Below are 21,628 nucleotides of genomic sequence, written 5' to 3'. Positions count from 1 at the left end.
CCTTTCTCACTAATAAGATTGAGCCCCTTTTTGTCATTTATTTGCACTCTTTTCCTAAATGCTTGTTCAAATCTCTTGCCCACTTTTCTACTGTGTTTGTCCGTCTTTTGCTTAATGATTTGTAGGAGTGTTTGTTTGTTTGTTTGTTTGAGACGGAGTTTCACTCTTGTTGCCCAGGCTGGAGTGCAGTGGCACGATCCCGGCTCACTGCAACCTCTGCCTCCCGGTTTCAAGTGATTCACCCACCTTAGCCTCCTGAGTAGCTGGAATTACAGGCACGCATCATGACACCCTGCTAATTTTTGTATTTTTAACACAGACGGGCTTTCACCCTGTTGGCCAGGCTGGTCTCCAACTCCTGACCTCAGGTCAGCCAAGTTTCATTTTTGCAAATACAGGTATCCCTTTATCCCTGTACCATTTATTGAAAAGATCATTCTTTTTCCACTGTCTTACAAGGTTACCTTTGTTGTAAATCAAATTTCCATATACGCAAAGATTTGTTTCTGGACCCTCTATTATGCCATGCTGGTTTATTTTTATTTCAATTATTTTCAGTTGTATATACTGTCAGTTTATAAGTCTTAATACAGAGTAGAGCAAGTCTCAATCTTCAAGCATGTCACAGTTCTTGGGACTTTGAATTCCACAAACTTTCAGTATGGAATTTCCATAAACTTTTAATTTGTCAAGTTCCACAAACAGACAAATAAAAACACCTTTTCAGATTTTGATTATGATTGCATTGAATCTGAAGATCAATTTGGGAAGTATTTATATCTCTATAGTATTGAACCTTCCAATTCTGGAACATGGTATATTTCTCTCTCTCTCTTTTTTTTTTTTTGTTTATTTTTGAATATTTCTCTCAGTAATGTTTAATAGTTTTCTGCAGGACAGCTTGTGCTTTTTTTAAAAAAAGTCATTCCTGAGTAGTTGATATTTTTTGGTGCCGTGGTAAATAGCACTGAATTTCAGTTTCTGTTGGTTATTCTATTCTATGTACCCAGTAACATTATCTACAAATAATTCATTTTACTTTGTCTTGTCTACTTCTTTTACTTTTACTTTCTTTTTCTTTTTCTTGTTTTGCTGGAATAGCTGGCACCATTGTAGGGATCTTTCTCTTTCTCCTGATCTCAAAGAAAAGGTTTCTATATTTCACCATTTCTATATTTCACCACTAAGTATAATTTTTGCTGTAAGTTTTTTGCAGATAACTTCCATCAGAATAGAGAAGTTTGCCAAGAGTTCGTATCTATAAATGAATGTTACTTTTATAAAACATTTTTTCTGGCTGGGCGCGGTAGCTCACGCCTGTAATCCCAGCACTTTGGGAGGCCGAGGCAGGCGGATCACGAGGTCAGGAGCTCGAGACCAGCCTGGCCAATATGGTGAAACCCCGTCTCTACTAAAAATACAAAAATTAGCCAGGCATGGTGGCACACGCCTATAGTCCCAGCTACTCGGGAAGCTGAGGCAGAAGAATTGCTTGAACCCGGGAGGCGGAGGTTGCAGTGAGCCGAGAACGCGCCACTGCACTCCAGCCTGGGCGACAGAGCAAGACTCTGTTTCAAAAAAAAAAAAAAAAAAAAACCAAACACCAAAAAAACACACACTTTTTCTGCATTTTTAAGGAGGATTGTATATTTCTTGCCTTTCCTGTTAATGTGGCAAATTCTATTGGTTGATTTTCTACTATCAAAATAACTGTATTTCTGAAAAAAATCTTACATGGTAAAAGTATATTATCTTTTTATTTTTCCCCATGTTCTATTGCTAGGTTCGGTCTGCTAATAATTTGTTAGTGTAGTTTGTATCTATGTTCTTGAGACAGACAGGCCAGTAATTTTTCTTATTCATAATGCTCTTGTTGTGTTTCCTTATCTAGGTAATGTGGGCTTTACCAGAGGAGTGCAAGGAGTGGTCCCTCATTTTTACTGTCTAGAAGAGTTTTATAATATTGGTAATATTTTGCCTCTAAATGTTTGGTAGAATTCTTAGGGGAAATTATCTAGAACTAGAGCTTCTGTGGTGTGATGGGTGACGCACTGGGAGAGATGTGGGGGAGTTTTAAAAGATTCAGTTTATTCAGTATTTCTAGAACTATTCAGATTTTCTATTTCTTCTTGCATCTTTTTTAAAATTTTTGTGGAGATGGGGCCTCGCTATGTTTCCCAGGTTGGTCTTGAACTCCTAGGCTCAAGCAATCTGACCACCTCAGCCTCCCAAAGTGCTGGGATTATAAATGTGAGCCACCATGCCTGGCCGCATCTTTTTGATATGTTTTATTTTTCTAAAACTTTGCTCATTTCATCTAATTTTAAAGTTTATTGCAATAAAACTGATCAAAATATCATTTTAGTATCTTTGTCACATCAGAAGGATCTATAGTGATATCTTTTTTAAAATTCCTGACACTAATAAGTTTGTGTCTTCTCTCATTTTTTCTCTATCAGCGTTGACATGGATTTATCAATTTCATCAATCTTTTTAGAGAACCAACTTTTGGTTTTGTTGAACTTCTCTATTACATCTTTGTTTTTTATTTCATGATTTCTACTCTTTGGTATTTCATTCCTTCTACTTCCTTTGGTTTAAGTTTGCTGTTCTTTTTCTAGCTTCTTGATATGGATGCTTAGCTCATTAATTTTTTTTGAGACAGAGTCTCGCTCTGTTACCCGGGCTATAGTGCAGTGGTGTGATCTCGGCTCACTGCAAGCTCCGCCTCCCGGGTTCACGCCTTTCTTCTGCCTCAGCCTCCGAGTAGCTGGGACTACAGGCGCGTGCCACCACGCCCGGCTAATTTTTTGTATTTTTAGTAGAGACGGGGTTTCACCATGTTAGCCAGGATGGTCTCAATCTCCTGACCTCGTGATCCACCCTCCTCGGCCTCCCAAAGTGCTGGGATTACAGGCATAAGCCACCGTGCCCGGCCTCAGGCTTTCTCCTTTTTCCAATACATACATTTAAGGGTATAAATTTCTTAACGAATGCTGCTTTATCTGTGTCCCACAAGTTTTGGTATATAGAATTTTCATTGTCATTCAGTTCAAAATATTGTCTTATTTTCACTATTCACAATAGCAAAGACATGGAATTGGCCTAGGTGCCCATCAATGGTGGACTGGATAAATGAAATATGGTACATATACACCATGAAATACTATGCAGCCACAAAAAAAGAATAAAATCAATGTCCTTTGCAGCAACATGGATGCAGCTGGAGATCATAATAACAGGAATGGAATATCAAATACTGCATGTTTTCACTTATGGGAACAATAGACACTGTGGACTACTGGGGAAAGATGGGGATGTGGGTGTGGGTTGAATAACTACCTATTTGGTACTATGCTTACTACCTGAGTGAGGGAATCTGTACCCCAAACCTCAGCCCCATGCAATATACCCGCATAACAAACCTGCACATGTGCCCCCTGAATCTAAAATAAAAGTTGAAATTATTATTATTAGTTATTTTTAAAGCCAAACACAAAGAGACTTTTACATTATCTTTTTAGTATTGATTTTTAGCTTATTGGCATTGAGGTAGAGACCATGCACCATTTTTTGAAATTTGTTGAAACTTGCTTTATGGCCCAATCTACAGTTAATCTTTTGTAACTATCTTATTGGAATTGATAAAGAAGTTATTTTCTATACTTGTTGGCTACATTATTCTTTCTATGCCTATTAGGTCATGTTTGTTAGTTGAGTTGTACAAATGTTCTATATCCTTACTGATACCTTTGTCTGTTTGTACTATCAGTTACTGAGCAAGGTTTGTCAAAATCTCCCCTATGGGCTGGGTATGGCAGTTCATGCCTATATCCCAGTGTTTTGGGAGGCTAAGTGGGGAGGGTGGCTTGAGGCCAGGAATTCAAGGTTACAGTGAGCTATTATCACACCACTACACTCCAGCCTGAGTGACAGAGTGAGACCTTGTCTGTTAAATAAATAAATAAACCAACAAATAAATAAGTAAAATCTCTACCGTGATCAAGGACTGGGCTTTCCTTTTGTAATTAAATTTTTGCTTTATTTTGGGGCCTTCTTATTAGAAGCATACACATTTAGAACTGGTATATCTTCCTGGTGAATCGAACATTTTTTAATCATGATAACATCTTCTTTATCTGTAGTAATGCTTTTGTCCATAATGCTCATTTTTGTCTGAAAATATAGTCACATTGGCTTCCTTTCTTTCTTTGGTGTATTCTTTGTATACATATCTAACCAGTTACTTTACACATAATATAATTACAATATACTTAATTTTAAGCTAATCATCTTGATGAATGCTTGCTATTTGTCATGCTATCATTTGGATCAATTTAGTGTTTTTCAATATTATTTCATTTATTAGTATTTTTAAGGAGACTCTATGGCTTTTATTCTTAGCATTTAATTAGTGATATCACCTTCAATTTTCATTATTTTTTTCCAATGCATTGGATGCTTCCAGAAACATCCCTCCAATTCCATAATCTTTTGTTCAATGTGTTTTTTAAAAAATTATTATCAATATTATTTTTGATTGACAAATCATAATTATCTACATTTATGGGGTACAATGTGATGTGTTGATATATGAATACAATGTGGCCTGATTAAATCAAGCAAATTAACATATTCATCACCTCAATTACCTATCATTTTTTATGATTAGACATTTGAAATGTACTCTCTTAGTATTATATATTTCAAAAATTCAATAGTCTTTATAATTACTATTTCCCTTGTACCTCTTAAATGCCTGAGACATTGCACCAGGCCAGTGAATTTCTTGCCAGCAGTATCCCATGCCAGCTGCATTAAAAGAGACCCTTATCTACTGTAGCCAGTGGACAGAAAAAGCTGAGAGTCAGGCCTAGGAGTTAATTATAAGAGCATCAGAGCTCCAGAGAAAGTGAAATTTTCAACTCCAGTGAGTCCGCTCTACCAAGATCAGGGCCCTGATTGGGAAGGAGTGGCGCCTTGAGATATGGAACACGACATCTGGATCAATGCTATCAAAAAAATCTTAACTCACCATATACCCCAAACCCTCTGGGCCTGCAGAAGTGGCCCACTCCACCTTGTTTAAGGCTAGTGCCTAGCAAAAATGGTGGAATAAGAAATGCCAAAAGTTCATCCCTCCATAAATGCAATGAAAAAACAGGCAAAAATGGTTGGAATCAACTTTTTCAGAACTCTGGAAATTAACTCAAAGCTTGCAGCAACCAGGAGACTACTTAAGAAAAACAGGCTGAACCTCAGTAGGAATGATGAGCTTTGTGGCATTTTAACTTACTCTGAAAACATTTATAGGTAATTGTGTTAGTCACTGCTATCTGAGGCAATGGATAATAGTTGGGACAGGCAATAGACTAACCAAAAATCTTGGGAGAAAAATCTGAATAATGAGGTGATTTGGGAATAAGAGCTTTGAAAAGTTCTGGCATATTCCTGGGAATCCAAAAGGCCGCATGCATGCCCAGGACTATGTGCAGGCTCAGAAAAGACCTGAGAAGACCCTAAGTTCCCACCTCTGGCTGCCCTTCAGGCTCCATACAAGCAGGAAGTGAAGGCTAAGGCAGAGTTTTAAACTGCCTGGCTGAGTGTTGAAGGTGTGCCCCAACATGCAAACACACAGAAATTTAAGGAAATCTCTACAATTTTTAGCTGACCACTAAGCAAATGGAACAGAGGAAAAAGAAATTCTTCTTTAAAATAACTAATTTAAATAATTGATTTTTATAATGAAAGAGAAATTAAGACATGCCCAGATAAACAAAAACAGAGGGAGTTCGTCACTAGTACACCTACCCTATGAGAAATGCTAAAGGGAGTCCTTCAGGCTGAAATGAAAGGACACTGGACAGTAATTCAAACCCACATAAAGAAATAAAGGACACCAGTAAAGGTAAGTACATAGACAAATATAGAAGTCTGTATTGGCCAGGCATGGTAGCTCACACTCTGTAATCCCAGCATTCTGGGAGGCCGAGGTGGGTGGATCACCTAATGTCAGGAGTTCAAGACCAGCCTGGTCTACATGGTGAAACCCTGTCTCTACTAAAAATACAAAAATTAGCTGGGCGTGGTGGCAGGTGCCTGTAATCCCAGTTATTCAGGAGGCTGAGGCAGGAGAATCGCTTGAACCCAGAAGACGGAGGTTGCAGTGAACCAAGATTACACCACTGCGTTCCAGCCTGGGTGACAGAGTGAGACTCTGTCTAAAAAATAATAATAATAATAAAAAACTTTGTTAGAAAGTATTTTTGGTTTGTAGCTCCTTGTTTCCTATCTTATTTAAAAGACATCTATAAGAAACAATAATTATAAATCTATGTTAATGGGCACATAATGTATAAACATACAATTGTGACAATAACAACATGGGAAGGGGGACAGAGCTATATGGAGGAACAATTTTGTATACTATTGAAATTAAGGCCAGGCATAGTGGCTCACACCTATGGTCTCAGCACTTTGGGAGGCTGAGGTGGGAGGATCACTTGAGCCCAGGAGTTCAGGACCAACCTAGGCAATATAGTGAGACCTGGTTTCTACAAAAAGTTTTAAAATTAGCCAGACATGGTGGCATGTGCCTGTAATTCCACCTATTTGGGAGACTGAAGCAGGAGGATCACTTGAGCCCAGGAGTTCGAGGCTGCAGTGAGCTATGATTATGCCACTGCACCCTCACTGCACTGGGTGACAGAGTAAGACCCTGTCTCTGAAGAAAAGAAAAAGAAAAGGAATTAAGTTGGCATTGATATGAACTGGGTTGTTGTAAATGTAAGATGTTAATTATAATCGCCAGGGCAGCCACTAAGAAAATAACCCAAAAATGTATAGTAAAAAGAAATGGCAAGAGAACTCAAGTGTTACACTAGAAAATATCCAATTGATATGAAAGAAGGCAGTAATGGAGGAACTGAGGAACAAAAAAAGTAAGACATACAGGGAATGAATAACAAAATAGCAGAAGTAAGTCCTTTCTTATCAGTAATTACGTTAAATGTAAATAGGTGTAACTCTCCAATACAGAGATTAGCAGAATGAATAAAATACATGATCCAACTATATGCTATCTACAAGAGATTTACTTTAGATTCAAAAACGCAAATAGATTGAAAGTAAATGAATGAAAAAATATATTCCATGCAAACAGTAACCAAAAAGAGAGGTGGAGTGACTATACTTAAGGCTAGTGATAGCCTTTTGTTTGAAGACGGTGCAGAGGCCTCTACCCTGCAAGATAACACATAGCCCACCCCCTACTGGGATCTACCCCAACCATTTCTCCTGGTTGCTAGGTCAATAACTAGGGTTCAGTCATAACATTACCCAGCCACTAAAGTGCCGGGCCTGCTAAGAGAGGAGAGTGGCTATATTTCAAAAGACTGTAAGAGCAAACCATGTAATGGCAGAAGCCCAGAGAGTATGGATGAGATTCTGAGGATTCTGTATCAAGGGAGGGGTTATGACTAAAACTGTCTCCCGTAAGAGCTATTTTGAAGTCCAAACCTCCAGTACCCCAGAATGTGACCTTATTTGGAAAAAGGACTCTTGCAGACTTAACCAAGTTAAGATGAGGTCATCTAGAAGGGCCCTACATCAAAACAACTGGTGTCCTTTAAAAAGAAAAAATTTGAACACAGACACACACAAAGGGAAGATGATGTGAAGATGCACAGGGGAATGCCATGTGAAGATGGGGCAGAGGCTAAATGCAGCTGTAAGCCAAGGAGCACCAAGCATTGGCAGCACCACCAGAAACTAGAAAGAGGCAAGGAAGGATTCTACCCAGAGTCTCAGAGGGAGCATGGCCCTGCCAACATCTTGACTTCAGACTTCCCGCTTCTAGAACCATGAGACAATAAATTTCTGTTGTTGGAAGCCACTCAGTTTGCGGTATTTTGTTCTGGTAGCCCGAGTAAACTAATTCAGGAGGTAAGCCATAAAGTTGGCTAAGGGAGAGTTTATTGATAGATGCCCACTCATCTATGATATGAGATTTTAAACCTTGGCAGGACCCTTGGGAGATGGTGTTACACACATTGTTGGAAGCTTGGAGAAACCAATGGGCACCACTGAATGAGGTAGAAATGGGAGAACTGCCATGGCAGGCTGTGGAAGGAAGACCAAAAAGCACAGAAAAATAGGCATGCTAGGGGATTGTTATGGACTGAATTGTGCCCTCCTAAAATTCATATGTTGTAGCCTTACTCTCCAATGTGACTGTATTTGGAGATAGGGAGCATAGGGGGGTAATTAAGGTTAAATGAAGTCACAAGGGTGGGACTGTAATGCTGCAGGACTGGTATCTTTATAAGGAGAGAAAGAGACTTCAGAGAGATCTTGCTCTCCATGCAAGTACAGAGAAGAGGCCATGTGAGACACAGTAAGAAGTAAGAAGATGGCTGTCTGCAAGCCAGGAAGAGAGGTCTCACCAGAAACCAACCCTGATGACACCTTGATCTTGTACTTCCAGCCTCCAAAACTGTGAGAGAACAAATGTCTGTTGTTTAAGCCACCCAGCCTGTGGTATTTTGGTACTGCAGCCTGAGCAACTAATATAGGGGTTGTATTATATAAAGTCCTCACTGGAGGACCCCCAAGTACACACTTTATCAAAGCAATAAACAATGCATGGGTAACAGGAGAGCCAGCATCAATGAGAAACTCAGTGGCCATCCATCAGGATGGTTGGGAATGATGGTAGGATATGCTGTTACAGAACGGAGCTCACTGATAGCAATGAGGATGATGGAATCCCAAAATGACAGATGGTAGGTGGTGACACTCGACTCTCAGAGGAAGGTGGGTGGCAGGTAGAGACAAGTGCCTGACCAAGGGGAATCAAGTGATCACACAGCCAGAACTAACCATCATGACCTGGGTTCTGTCAGACCCACCAAGTCATAGGTTTAGGAAGGCCAAAAAGCAGTCCTTCAGAAGATGGAGGTGGAACATGTAGATCATTTACAAGCAAAGCCAGAGAGCACAAGCAAGTGGCTAAGCAAGAGACGCAGACCCCTCAACCATCTACCACTGTTCCATCTGTGCCTCTGCCCCAGCTCACACTTAGGGCTTCATGGGGTATTCTTTGTGACCAGCTAATTAATGGAAGAGGGAAAAAGCCAAGCTTGGTTCATGGATGAGAAAGCTCAGAATGTTCACACAAACTAAAAATTGATGGCAGCAGAGAGAAAGGAAGTAGAGAATAGAAAAACAATAGAAAGAAACAACAAACCAAAAGTTGGTTCTTTGAAGATATCAGCAAAATTTACAAACCTTTAGCTAGGATGACTAAGAAAAAGAGAGAAAACAAAGATAACTAAAATCAGAAATTTTTTTATGGTTTTGACACTTTATTCTATTAATATGGTATGTTATGTTAATTGATTTTAGGATGTTAAACCACCTTTGCATTCCTGGGATGAATGCCAGTTGGCCGGAGTATATAATCCCTTTCTTTTTTAGTTTTTTATTTCCATAGGTTTCTGGGGAACAGGTGGTATTTGATTACATGAGTAAGTCCTTTAGTGGTGATTTGTGAGATTTTGGTGTACCCATCTCCCCAGCAGTATACATTGAACCCAATTTTTTGGTAGTCATTTATCCCTCACCCCCTTCCCACCCTTTCCCCCCGAGTCCCCAGAGTCCATTGTGTCATTCTTATGCCTTTGGGTCCTCATAGCTTAGCTCCCACTTATGAGTGAGAACATACGATGTTTGGTTTTCTATTCCTGAGTTACTTCACTTACAATAATAGTCTTTAGTCCCATCCAGGTCGCTGCAAATGCCATTAATTCATTCCTTTTTATGGCTTAGTAGTATTCCATTGTGTTTGTGTGGAGATATATATATCACAGTTTTTTTAACCACATGTTGATTATTGATGGACATTTGAGTTGGCTCCACATTTTTGCAATTGTGAATTGTGCTGCTATAAACATGTGTGAGCAAGTATCTTTTTCATATAATGACTTCTTTTCCTCTGGGTAGGTACCCAGTAGTGGGATTGCTGGATCAAATGGTAGTTCTACTTTTAGTTCTTTAAGGAATCTCCACACTGTTTTCCATAGTGGTTGTACTAGTTTACATTCCCAACAGCAGTGTAGAAGTGTTCCCTTTTCATTGCATCCACACCAACATCTATTTTTTTTTAATTTTTTGTAAAATCAGAAATTTTAAAAACAACTTTATAGAAATTAAAAGGATTATGGATACTGTGAACAACTGTATGCAACAAATCAGATAATCTAGATGAAGTGGACAAATTCCCAGGAACACACAAACAATCACAATTGAGTGAAGAAAAAAATATAAAATCTCAACAAATCTTTAACAAGTAAAGAGATTGAATCAGTAATCAAAAACCTCCCAGCAAAGAAAAGTCTAGGATCAGATGACGTCACTAGTGAATTCTACCAAACATTTAAAGAACAATTAACAGCAATGCTACCTCAAATTCTCCCAAAAAATGGAAGAGAAAGGAATACTTCCCAGCATATTCTATAAGGCTTGCATGACCCTGATACCAAAGACACAAGGATGCCACAAACAAAAAAATACTACTGACCAATATCCTTTATGAACAGACAGAAAAATCCTCAGCAAAATACTAGCAAACTGAATTCAATGGAACATAAAAATGATTATATACCGTAACCAAGTGGGATATATCCCACGAATGCAAGGGTGGTTCTACATAAGAAAATAGATCAATATAACACACCACATTAAAAGAACAAAGGGAAAAAAACCATATGATCATCTCAGTAGTTGCAAAAAAAAAAAGCATTTGACAAAACTCAACAGTCTTTCATGAAAAAAACACCCAGCAAACTAAGAATAAAAAGGAATTCCTTATGAAAAACCTATAGCTAACCTCATACTCAACAGTAAAAGATAGAAAGCTCTTCCCCTAAGATCAGGAACAAGGCAAGGATGCCTGCTTTCACCACTGCTATTGAACATTGTACTGGAAATCCTAGCTACAGCAATTAGGCAAGAAAAAGAAATAACAGGCATCCAACTTGGAAAGGAAAAAGTAAAACTATTTCTGTTTGCAGATGACATCATCCTACATATAGAAAATCCTACAGAAGGCCGGGCACAGTGGTTCATGCCTATAATCCCAGCACTTTGGGAGACCAAGGCGGGCGGATCACGAGGTCAGGAGATTGAGACTATCCTCGCCAACACGGTGAAACTCTGTCTCTACTAAAAGTACAAAAAATTAGCCAGGCATGGTGGCACGCACCTGTAATCCCAGCTACTCAGGAGGCTGAGGCAGGAGAATCACTTGAACCCCGGAGGCGGAGGTTTCAGTGAGCCGAGATTGTGCCACTGCACTCCAGCCTGGGTGACAGAGTGAGACTCTGTCTCAAAAAATAAAATAAAATATAATAAAATAAAAAGAAAATCCCATAGAATACACACAAAAAACTACTAGTGCTAATAAAGAAGTTCAGCAAATTTGTAGGGTACAAGATCTACATACAAAAATCAGTTGTGGTTGCACAACAATCTGAATGTACTCAATGCCACCAAGCTATTCACTTTAAAAATGGTTAAAATGGTAAATTTTAAGTTATATATATATTACCACAATTTTTCTTAAAGAGGCAGGAGGGTCAGAGATAAAGGAGATATGATGGTAGAAACAGAATCGGAGGAATCAGAATCAGGATCAGAACAAGATTTTTTTTTGAGACAGGGTCTCACTCTGTTGCTCAGGCTGGAGTACAGTGGCACAGTCATGGCTCACTACAGCCTTGAACTACTGGGCTCAAGTGATTCTCCTGCCTCAGCCTCCCAGTAGCTGGGACTACAGGTGCATGCCACCATACCTAATTTTTTAAAAAAAAAAGAGAGACAGGGGTCTCACTTTGTTGCCTAGGCTGGTCTTGAACTCCTGGCTTCAAGCAGTCCTCCCACCTCAGCCTCCCAAAGTGCTGGGATTACAGGCCTGAGCCACTGTGCCCAGTCCAGAGCAAGATTTGAAGATGCTACGCTGGTGAGTTTGAGGATGAATGGCCACAAGTCAAGGAATGCAGGCACCCTCTGGAAGCTGGAAAAGGCAAGGAAATTGATTCTCCCCTAGAGCCTCCAGGAGGAATGTAGCTCTGCTCACAACTTAATTTTAGCTCTACAAAACTCATTTTGGACTGCTGACCTTCAGAACCCTGAGATGATACAGTTGTGGTGTTTAAAACACACACACTAAAGTAAGGACCAGATAAAAAGCTGAAAGTAGGACCAGGCAGAGTGGCTCATGCCTGTAATCCCAGCACTTTAGGAGGCTGAAGTGGGAGGATCACTTGAGCCCAAAAGTTCGAGACCAGCCTGGGCAACATAGCAAGACCCCATCTTTACAAAAATTTAAAAAATTAGCTGGGTGTGATGGCCTGTGCCTATGGTCCCAGCTACTCAAGAGGCTGACACAGGGGGATCCTTTGAGCCCAAAAGGTCAAGACTGCAGAGAGCTATTGTTACAGGATATCTGGGGTGTTGATTTTCCTGGCTGGAAACCTTTGTGGTCATGGCACCTTTGCCCACGTCCTTGTCCTGCATCCAGGAAGAATGAGGTATGCAGACAAGTGAAGGGTGAAGAAGAGTTTTATTTAGTGTTAGAACAGCTCAGAGGAGTGGGTAGCTCCTCAGTGTAGGCAGGTCATCCTATGGAATATTCAGCTCATAGCAGAGAGGAGGCTCTGGAGAGGATAGCTCCTCTCTGCAGGCAGGTCGTTTGGACATTTCTGCAGGTCTCTGAAGCTCTCAGTGGGAGAGGATAGCTTCTCTCTGCTGGCAGGTCATCTCTGCAGCTCTCAGCATAAAGGGTACTCCTCTCTGCAGCTGATCCTCCTGCCATCTCTCTGCCTTCTTTGTCCTCTGGCCATCTTCTACCCTGCTCTGGCTGAGTCCAGGGCTTTTATGAACCTCAGAGGGGAAGAAGTGAATGTAGATTGGTCTGTGGGCGGCCGTGGGTGGGCCTGGAAGAGGCACCACGAGTCCTCACTCTGGCAGCCCAGCCCCCAGCCTTCAGGCCCTCCCTGGTTTGAGAGTGGGGCCTTACTGAGGATCCCACCCCCTTCTGCCCAGGACTCTGTCTGCCTCCTGCTGCCATTCATGGCCCCTGGGCTTGGCTCCAACCCCACTCTGAGATCGGAGCCAGTGCTGGGAGTGGAGAGAGGCCAGGCAGTGGGAGGAGATACCCCTGAGACTGCAGAGATGGGGGCTCCTTCCTGGGGCGCCCAAGGGTGCAGGCTACAGAGATGCCCAGGTCCTGTGCCTGGGAGGGCAGCCTCAGCTGCACCCAGGAGCTCCCACCCCACCAACCCTGAATAGGCAGGGCTCCTGCTTGTCCCTGGCTCCTGCCTGCTTCTTGGAGTGGGAGGCCCTGCAGTAGCAGGTCGGGTGGTTACGGCTGCACCAGGGAGTGCAGAGCCTGCCTGTTCCCGGCTCCCCCAAGAGCACAGGGAGGCTCGGATCCACAGCTGCAGTTTGGGCGGCGGTGGTGCCCAAGAGGGCGGGGCTCTGCCTGCTCCGTAGAGCAGGAGGCCTGGGTCTGCAGCTGCGGTTTGGGCGGCTGCAGCCGCACAGGGAGCTCCAGTCCCAACTCAGAAGGGGCAGGGCTCCCACCGGCTCCATGGAGTGTACAGCTCCAGCCACACCTCCCTGCTGCAGTTGGCATGATGGCAGCAGCCCCTGCCATCACTATGATCGCATCACTGCACTCGTCTCAGTCTGGGTGACAGAATGAGACCATGTCTCAAAAAAAAAAAAAAAAAAAAAAATTAAAGTATTACTTATAATAGCAAGCACAGGAAAGCTTTAAAAAAAAATCACTTTTGTTTCTATATGCCAGCAATGGACAATCCAAAACAGAAACTAAAAAAAAATTTACATTTACAATACCTCCAAAAGAATAAAATGCCAAGGAACAAATTTAACCAAGGAGTTGAAAGACTTGTACACTGAAAACTATGAAATACTGCTGAAAGAAATTAAAGAAGACTTAAATAAATAGAAAGACATTCCATGTTCATAGTTTGGAAGATTTAATATTGTTAAGATAGCAATACCCCCTCCCCAAAAGACTTACAGATTTAACACAATCCCTATCAAAAGGACCTGCAATGACAGAAATGGAAAAGCTGGCTCTGATGCTCATATGGAACTGCATGGACTCTGAATAGCCACAACAACATTGTAAATGAAAAACGAAGTTTGTGGACTTACACCTCCTGATTTTAAAACTGACTACAATGCTACAGTAATCAAAACAGTGTGGTACTGGCATAAGGCTAGATGTAGAAATAAATGAATAGAATTTGGAGTCCAGAAATAAACTCAAACATCTACGGCCAATTGATTTTTTAACATGGATGTCAAAACTATTCAATGGGTAAAACTAGTTTCTTCAACAAATGGTGCTTGAACAACTCTATAACCATAAAATGAAGTTGGAATCCTACCTTACTCTATAAACAAAAATTAACTCAAGATGGGTCAGCAACCTAAATTTAAGAGGTAATGCTATGAAACTATTAGGAGAAAACCTAGGGTTAAATCTTCATCGGATTTGGCAGTAGGTTCTTAGATTTGACACCAAAAGCATAAGCAACTAAAGAAAACAAAAAGATAAATTGGACTTCATCAAAATTGGCATGCATCAACCATATTGCTGTCATTCCAATATTCACATCTATTCTCATCTTTTCCTGTGAACAGTTCCCTGATCTATGTACTGTGGCCAAGGTAACAATCTGGCTACCTCTCTGGAATACTTACAACTTTAATGAGACTGTATTGTGACAGATATAGTTACCAATTATCGATGCATTGAAAATGGAGATGAGGCTGGGCATGGTGGCTCACACCTGTAATCCCAGCACTTTGGGAGACCGAGGCGGGCAGATCACCTGAGGTCAGGAATTTGAGACCAGCCTTGCCAAAATGGTGAAACCCCGTCTCCACTAAAAATACAAAGTTATCCAGGTGTGGTGGCACACATCTGTAATCCCAGCTACTCAGGAGGCTGAGTGAGGAGTATTGCTTGAACCCAGGATGCGGAAGTTGCAATGAGCCAAGATGGCGCCACTGCACTCCAGCCTGGGCAACAGAGCGAGACTCCATCTCAAAAAAAAAAAAAAAGAGAGAGAGAAAATGGAGTTGACCTCCAGCTTGCTTGCTCAGTTTTTATTGAAATTTGTGCTTATTGGCCGGGCGCGGTGGCTCACGCCTGTAATCCCAGCACTTTGGGAGGCCGAGGCGGGCGGATCACAAGGTCAGGAGATCGAGACCATCCTGGCTAACAAGGTGAAACTACATCTCTACTAAAAATACAAAAAAAAAAAAAAAATTAGCCGGGCATGGTGGCAGGCGCCTGCAGTCCCAGCTACTCGGGAGGCTGAGGCAGGAGGATGGCGTGAACCCAGGAGGCGGAGCTTGCAGTGAGCCAAGATTGCGCCACTGCACTCCAGCCTGGGCGACAGAGCGAGACTCTGTCTCAAAACAAACAAACAAAATAAGAAATTTGTGCTTATTGAATTTGTGCTTCTTGTCCTGCAACTCTCAGCTCTGCAGGTTTGGAGTTTCTGGTTCCTAGAGAGGTAACTCTTCCACTAGGGGCTCAGAAAAAGTCCTACTAAAATTTAAACTATTGCTTCTACCCAGTCACTTTAGGTTTCACACACTAACAGACAAGCAGGCAATAAGAGGAGTCACTATCCTGGCAGGTCTAACCATGATCTTCAGGAGGAGGTAGGGCTCTGTTATACAAGGGAGACAGGAAGGATTATATTCGACCTTCAGTTGATATCCTTGGGTACCTCTTGATACTTCCTTGCTCGGTTTTGATAGGAAATGGACAAATATAGCAACCTTGGTCTGAAAAGAGGATGGTGACCAGGGCTCAGACCCTTCAAGGATGAGAATCTGTATTGTGTCAGCAGGTAAGCCACCTATGCTGACAGTTGTTCTTGAATGGTGAAGAGAATCTAGAATGGGTAGTAGAGAAGGGAGACACTGAATATCATTTGAGGCCTCAAGACCAGTTGGAGTAGCTGGGTCTGTAGTTTGTCTCACTGACCCTCCTCTTGTAAGTTATTCCAGGAAATGAAGATCACCTGAAACCTGGAGGAGCTGTGCTCCAAGTTTACTCTATGAAGCAAGTGAGTGTGAGCGGCACAAGGGGTGACGACTGTGATGGGTGCTGTGGTGCACTGTGCAAATGTCCCACTGAAGCACTCATTCTCCCTGCTGCAGGGAGTGTTGACAGCTGGCAGCTGGCCGCTGAATCCCTACATGGGGATTGCCTTCAGCTGAAGATGCCTGCCTCACCCAAGATCATGTCCCCTTCCCAGGGGGCAGCCCATATCCAGAGACTGGCCAATGTGGGAGAACAAAGGCTTTGGCCCCTCCTCTCAATTGCAGACAATTCTAAAGGATCATCCCAGCTCCAGAACTCCCCATGGGGTCAAATGGGCCTTGGGTGCAACCTCATCACAGTTCAGGTTCTTTCTCTGCCCAATCCTGCAGCCCTCATGCCCTCTCAGGTGTAGATCCTGAGATCACACCTCAATAAGCTTCCTGCATGCAAATCTCTATCTCAGAGTCTGTTTCCCAGGAAACCTGGCCTGTGACAAACTGTTTTACAGTGGTACTCTTGGGCACTACCCAGGTGAAATACTGGGTGTAGCTGCAGTGCCTGAGGAGTTATTGCTTCCTTCCTTGCAGCTTTGAGGAATCCTCATGAGTCTGAAAAATCAACACCAGTGACTCTGAAGGAGGCATTTCTATTGGTCTGTCTTCCTCTAGTTACCCTGGGAGGGAGATTTTGCCAGTGATCAATTAGACAATGTTACACGGACCCAGTGTGCTCAGAGGGTCCCGGTATTCATTATTCTAGCAGCAGATCCCACCCTTGGCTTAACCCCACCAGACTAACTCATAGGGTAAAATAAGTGAAAGATAGTTACAGACAGAATGGCATTCAGACATCATTCTTATTTATCTATGTGGAGACAGCTGAGACCATTCTTGATGGATGGCCTCACGGTAATTCAGCAGGACTGGCTGTAAAAATTGAATAGTGTGTGACATTTTGAGCAGCCAGAAACCTGGCATGTCTTATGGCTCATCTTTCCAACAATCTCCTTCAGAGCATCCTTGGCACACTGTTCCAGCCTTTTCATCTGGCCATTTATCTGGGGCAACGGGGGAGGATGGCAACGTTGGGATAAGGCTCCTGTCCATAAATCCTCTACACTCAACTGAGGCACAGGCAGACACATTAGCAGAGATAAGTGAGTTGCCATACCCACGCTAGAAATCACCCATTGAAGACCTAAGCACATGAGAGCAGGGGTCTGAGATGGAACAATGAGCATCGAAAGCAATGTCTCTGATTGGTCCTGCAAAATTCCCAGCCAGGATTTCACGGCCCTTCCTAAAGAGAAGAAGGTACATTTGCTGAATAGACTGTGAGTGCTGGCGTGTCAACCATATTGCTATCATTCCAATATTTGCATCTATTCTCATGATTTCCTGTGAACAGTTCCTTTATCTATGTACTGTGGCCAAGGTAACAAGCTGGCCACTTCTCTGGAATAATTACAGCTTTGGTGAGACTACATTGTGACAGATACAGTTACCAATTATGGATACATTGAAAGTAGAGTTGACCTCTAGTTTGCATGCTCAGTTGTTATTGAAAACAACTGCAAATGCTTGGCTCAGTCCTGGCACAACTCTATGAAACAGAACAGCAACAAAAACTGTGAGAATTATTTTAAAAGTCAAAAACTGGTTCCATGAAAAGATGTTTTTAAAGACAGACCTCTGGCAAGAGTGATCAAGAATAAAAAAGAGAAGATATGGGCCGGGTGCGGTGGCTCACGCCTGTAATCCCAGCACTTTGGGAGGTTGAGGCGGGTGGATCACAAGGTCAGGAGATTGAGACCATCCTGGCTAATACGGTGAAACCCCGTCTCTATTAAAAATACAAAAAATTAGCCGGGCGTGGTGGCGGGTGCCTGTAGTCCCAGCTACCCGGGAGGCTGAGGCAGGAGAATGGTGTGAATCCAGGAGGCGGAGTTTGCAGTGAGCCGAGATGTGCCACCGCACTCCAGCCTGGGCGACAGAGCAAGACTCCGTCTCAAAAAAAAAAAAAAGAGAGGATGTGAATAAATAAAATACAAAAAGAAAAGGAAGAAATAACCACAGGCACTAAAGTGATTATTTAAAAAAGAAAAAAGCATTATGAATAACTCTGCACTACTAAAATTGAAAAAAAAATGAAATAGGGGCTGGGCGTGGTGGCTCACACCTGTAATGCCAGCACTTTGGGAGGCCGAGGCAGGCGGATCACGAGGTCAGGAGATCGAGACCAGCCTGGCTAACATGGTGAAACCCCGTCTCAACTAAAAATACAAAAATTAGACGGGTGTGGTGGTGGGCGCCTGTAGTCCCAGCTACTCGGAAGGCTGAGGCAGGAGAATGGCGTGAATCCGGGAGGCGGAGCTTGCAGTGAGCCGAGATCACACCACTGCACTCCAGCCTGGGTGACAGCGAGACTCCGTCTCAAAAAAAAAATGAAATAAAGTTCTAGAAATATATAAAATGCAACAGTTTGATCAAGAAGATGACTAATTCCAGGCCAAGCACGAAAAGATTGAAATGGTAGTCAAAGACATCCTCTCCCCCAAAACTTTAGGCCCTTTTAGTTTGTTTTTTAAAATATATTATTTTAAGTTCCAGGATACATGTGCAGGATGTGCAGGTTTGTTACATAGGTATACGTGTGCCATGGTGGTTTGCTGCATCTATCAACCCATCATCTAGGTGTTAAGCCCCGCATGCATTAGGTATTTGTCCTGATGCTTTCCCTCCCCTTGCCCTCCACCCCCCGACAGGCCCCAGTGTGTGTTGTTCTCCTCCCTGTGTCCATGTGTTCTCATGGTTCAACTCCCACTTATGAGTGAGAACATGCGGTGTTTGGTTTTCTGTTCCTGTGTTAGTTTGCTGAGGATGATGGTTTCCAGCTTCATCCATGTCCTCGCAAAGGACGTGATCTCATTCTTTTTTATGGCTGCATATATTCCATGGTGTATATGTGCCACATTTTCTTTATCCAGTCTATCACTGATGGCCCTTTTAGTTTTATAGGCGAATTCTATGAAATTTTTAAGAAATGCTTAATTCCGGCCAGGTGTGGTGGCTCACGCCTGTAATCCCAGCACTTTGGGAGGCCAAAGCAGGCAGATCACTTGAGATCAGGAGTTCAAGACCAGCCTGGCCAACACAGTGAAACCCTGTCTCTACAAAAAATACAAAATTAGCCGGGAGGCTGTAATTCCAGGAAGCTGAAGCAGGAGGATAGCTTGAGCCTGGGAGGCAGAGGTTGCAGTGAGCCGAGATCATGCCACTGCACTCCAGCAGGTGCAACAGGGTGAGACTCTATCTCAAAAAAAAAAAATAAATTGTTTTAAAAAAGAAAGAAATGCTTAATTCCTATTTTACCCAGATTGTTTCAGAGTTTAGAAAAAGAGTGAATGCCATCCAGCTCATTTTGAAGCCAAGGCAATCTTAATTCCAAAACCAGTTAGTGACAATTTTTAAAAAGTACTTATGGCCGGGCGCAGTGGCTCATGCCTGTAATCCTAGCACTTTGGGAGGTCGAGGCGGGTGGATCACAAGGTCAGGAGATCGAGGCCATCCTGGCTAACACGGTGAAACCCCGTCTCTACTAAAAAAACAAAAAATTAGCTGGGCGTGGTGGTGGGCACCTGTAGTCCCAGCTACTTGGGAGGCTGAGGCAGAAGAATGGCATGAACCCGGGGGGCAGAGCTTGCAGTGAGCCGAGATCATGCCACTGCACTCCAGCCTGGGTGACAGAGTGAGACTCCGTCTCAAAAAAAAAAAATTAAAATTAAAATTTTAAAAAATGTACTTACAGGGCTTTTTCATTTATGAAAACAGATGTATAAATCCCAAACAAAAGATTTACTGACAGAACTCAACAGGATTTAAATATATATATATATATCCATCATGATGAAGGTTTTATCCCAGAAATTCGACAATGGTTCAACATCAGTAAACTTAGCAAACTAGGAACATAAAGAAATTTTCTTAACTTGATAAAGGTTATGTATCAAATCCTACGGAAGGCTGGGTGTAGTGGCTCACACTTGTAATCCCAGCACATTGAGAGTCCGAGGCAGGCAGATCACTTGAGATCAGGAGTTCCAGACCAGCCTGGCCAACATGGCAAAACCCTGTCTCTACTAAAAATACAAAAATTAGCTGGGTGTGGTGGCAGGCACCTGTAATCTCAGTTACTCAGGAGGCTGAGGCACGAGAATCACTTGAACCCAGGAAGCAGCAGTTGCAGTGAGCCGAGACTACAGCACTGCACTCCAGCCTGGGTGATGGAGTGAGACTCTGCCTCGGAAACAACAACAAAAAACCTACAGCAAATATACTTAATGGAGAAACTTTAGACACATTCCCTTTAAGATTATAAATAAGACAAATGTGTCCTCAACCTTTACTGTGTAATATGGCATGAAAGTCCTGGCCATTGTTAGAAAATGAAAATAATTAAGAGGTTGTATTAGTCAGGCTTCTCCAGAGAAAGAGAAGCAATAGGATGTATGCAGACAGTGAAAAAGAGTGTAAGGGGAGGAGAGAGAGAAAGAGAGAGGGAGGGAGGAAGATTTACTTTAAGGAATTAGCTCACGTGATTGTGTGGACTGACAAGTCAGAAATCTGCAGAGTGGACTAGCAGGCTGGAGACCCAGGGAAGAACTGATGTTGCAGCTTAAGTCCAAAGGCATTCTAGAGGCAGAATTGTCTCTCCCTCCAAGAATGTTCATCTTTTTTCTTAAGGCCTTCAACTGACTGGACAAGGCCTACCCACATTATGGAGGGTAATCTGCTTTACTCAAAGTCCATTGAGTTAAATGTTAATCTCATCTAAAAAATACCTTCGTGGCAACACCTAGACTGTAGACTGTTGTGTGACAAAATAACTGGGCACAAGAGACTAGCCAAATTGACATATAAAATTAATCATCATGGAGATATACTTTTGGGAAGGAAAAAGATAAAATTGCTATTTGCAAGTGATATGACCATCTATCTAGAAATAAAAATGTAATCCATAAACTCAACTCTAAGTGGGGATATACATAAAGTTTCTAACTAGAAAATCAACCTACAGAAATCAGTAGCTGCTTTTTACTACAGAAATAACTAGAAACTATAAAATGTAATAAAAATAAAATCATTTACAATAGCTACAAAATTATAAAGTGTCTAAAATTAGCATAAGACTACACAAGCCCTCTCTGAGGAATACAGTGATGTACTACACAAGGATAGATAAACTGACCAATGGAAAATAATCAAGAATCCAGAGCAGACACACATTTAGTTTACCTGGTTTATTACAGTATGACACTGATGTATAGTGGAAAAAAGATAATCTTTTAAATAAATGGCACTGGGTTAATTTTGTATCTAAATGGGGAGAAATAAATCTGGATCCCTATCTCACACCATACATGTAAATCAATTTCAGAAGAATTGTAGATCTAAATAGGAAAGATAAAATAAT

At 42.0% G+C, this 21,628-nt stretch overlaps 1 long non-coding RNA gene across 2 annotated transcripts in view; it reads right to left on the bottom strand.

The window, feature by feature from the left end:
• LOC105373182 (uncharacterized) overlaps nt 1-21,628 on the bottom strand; it is an 82,002-nt gene that overhangs the window by 43,050 nt on the left and 17,324 nt on the right. The window contains exon 3 of one of the 2 annotated variants that reach the window (XR_001755831.1): nt 12,468-12,942. The exons of the other annotated variant lie outside the window; for it this stretch is intronic. This is a non-coding gene — a long non-coding RNA (uncharacterized LOC105373182). Of the gene's footprint in view, nt 1-12,467; nt 12,943-21,628 lie in introns of those variants that run through there. 2 annotated transcript variants of the gene reach the window in all.

The sequence above is a fragment of the Homo sapiens genome, chromosome X (assembly GCF_000001405.40).
Source record: "Homo sapiens chromosome X, GRCh38.p14 Primary Assembly".
NCBI classification, from domain to species: domain Eukaryota; kingdom Metazoa; phylum Chordata; class Mammalia; order Primates; family Hominidae; genus Homo; species Homo sapiens.
Note: the sequence above shows the minus strand (reverse complement) of the source record. Positions and strands in the feature narration are given on the sequence as shown.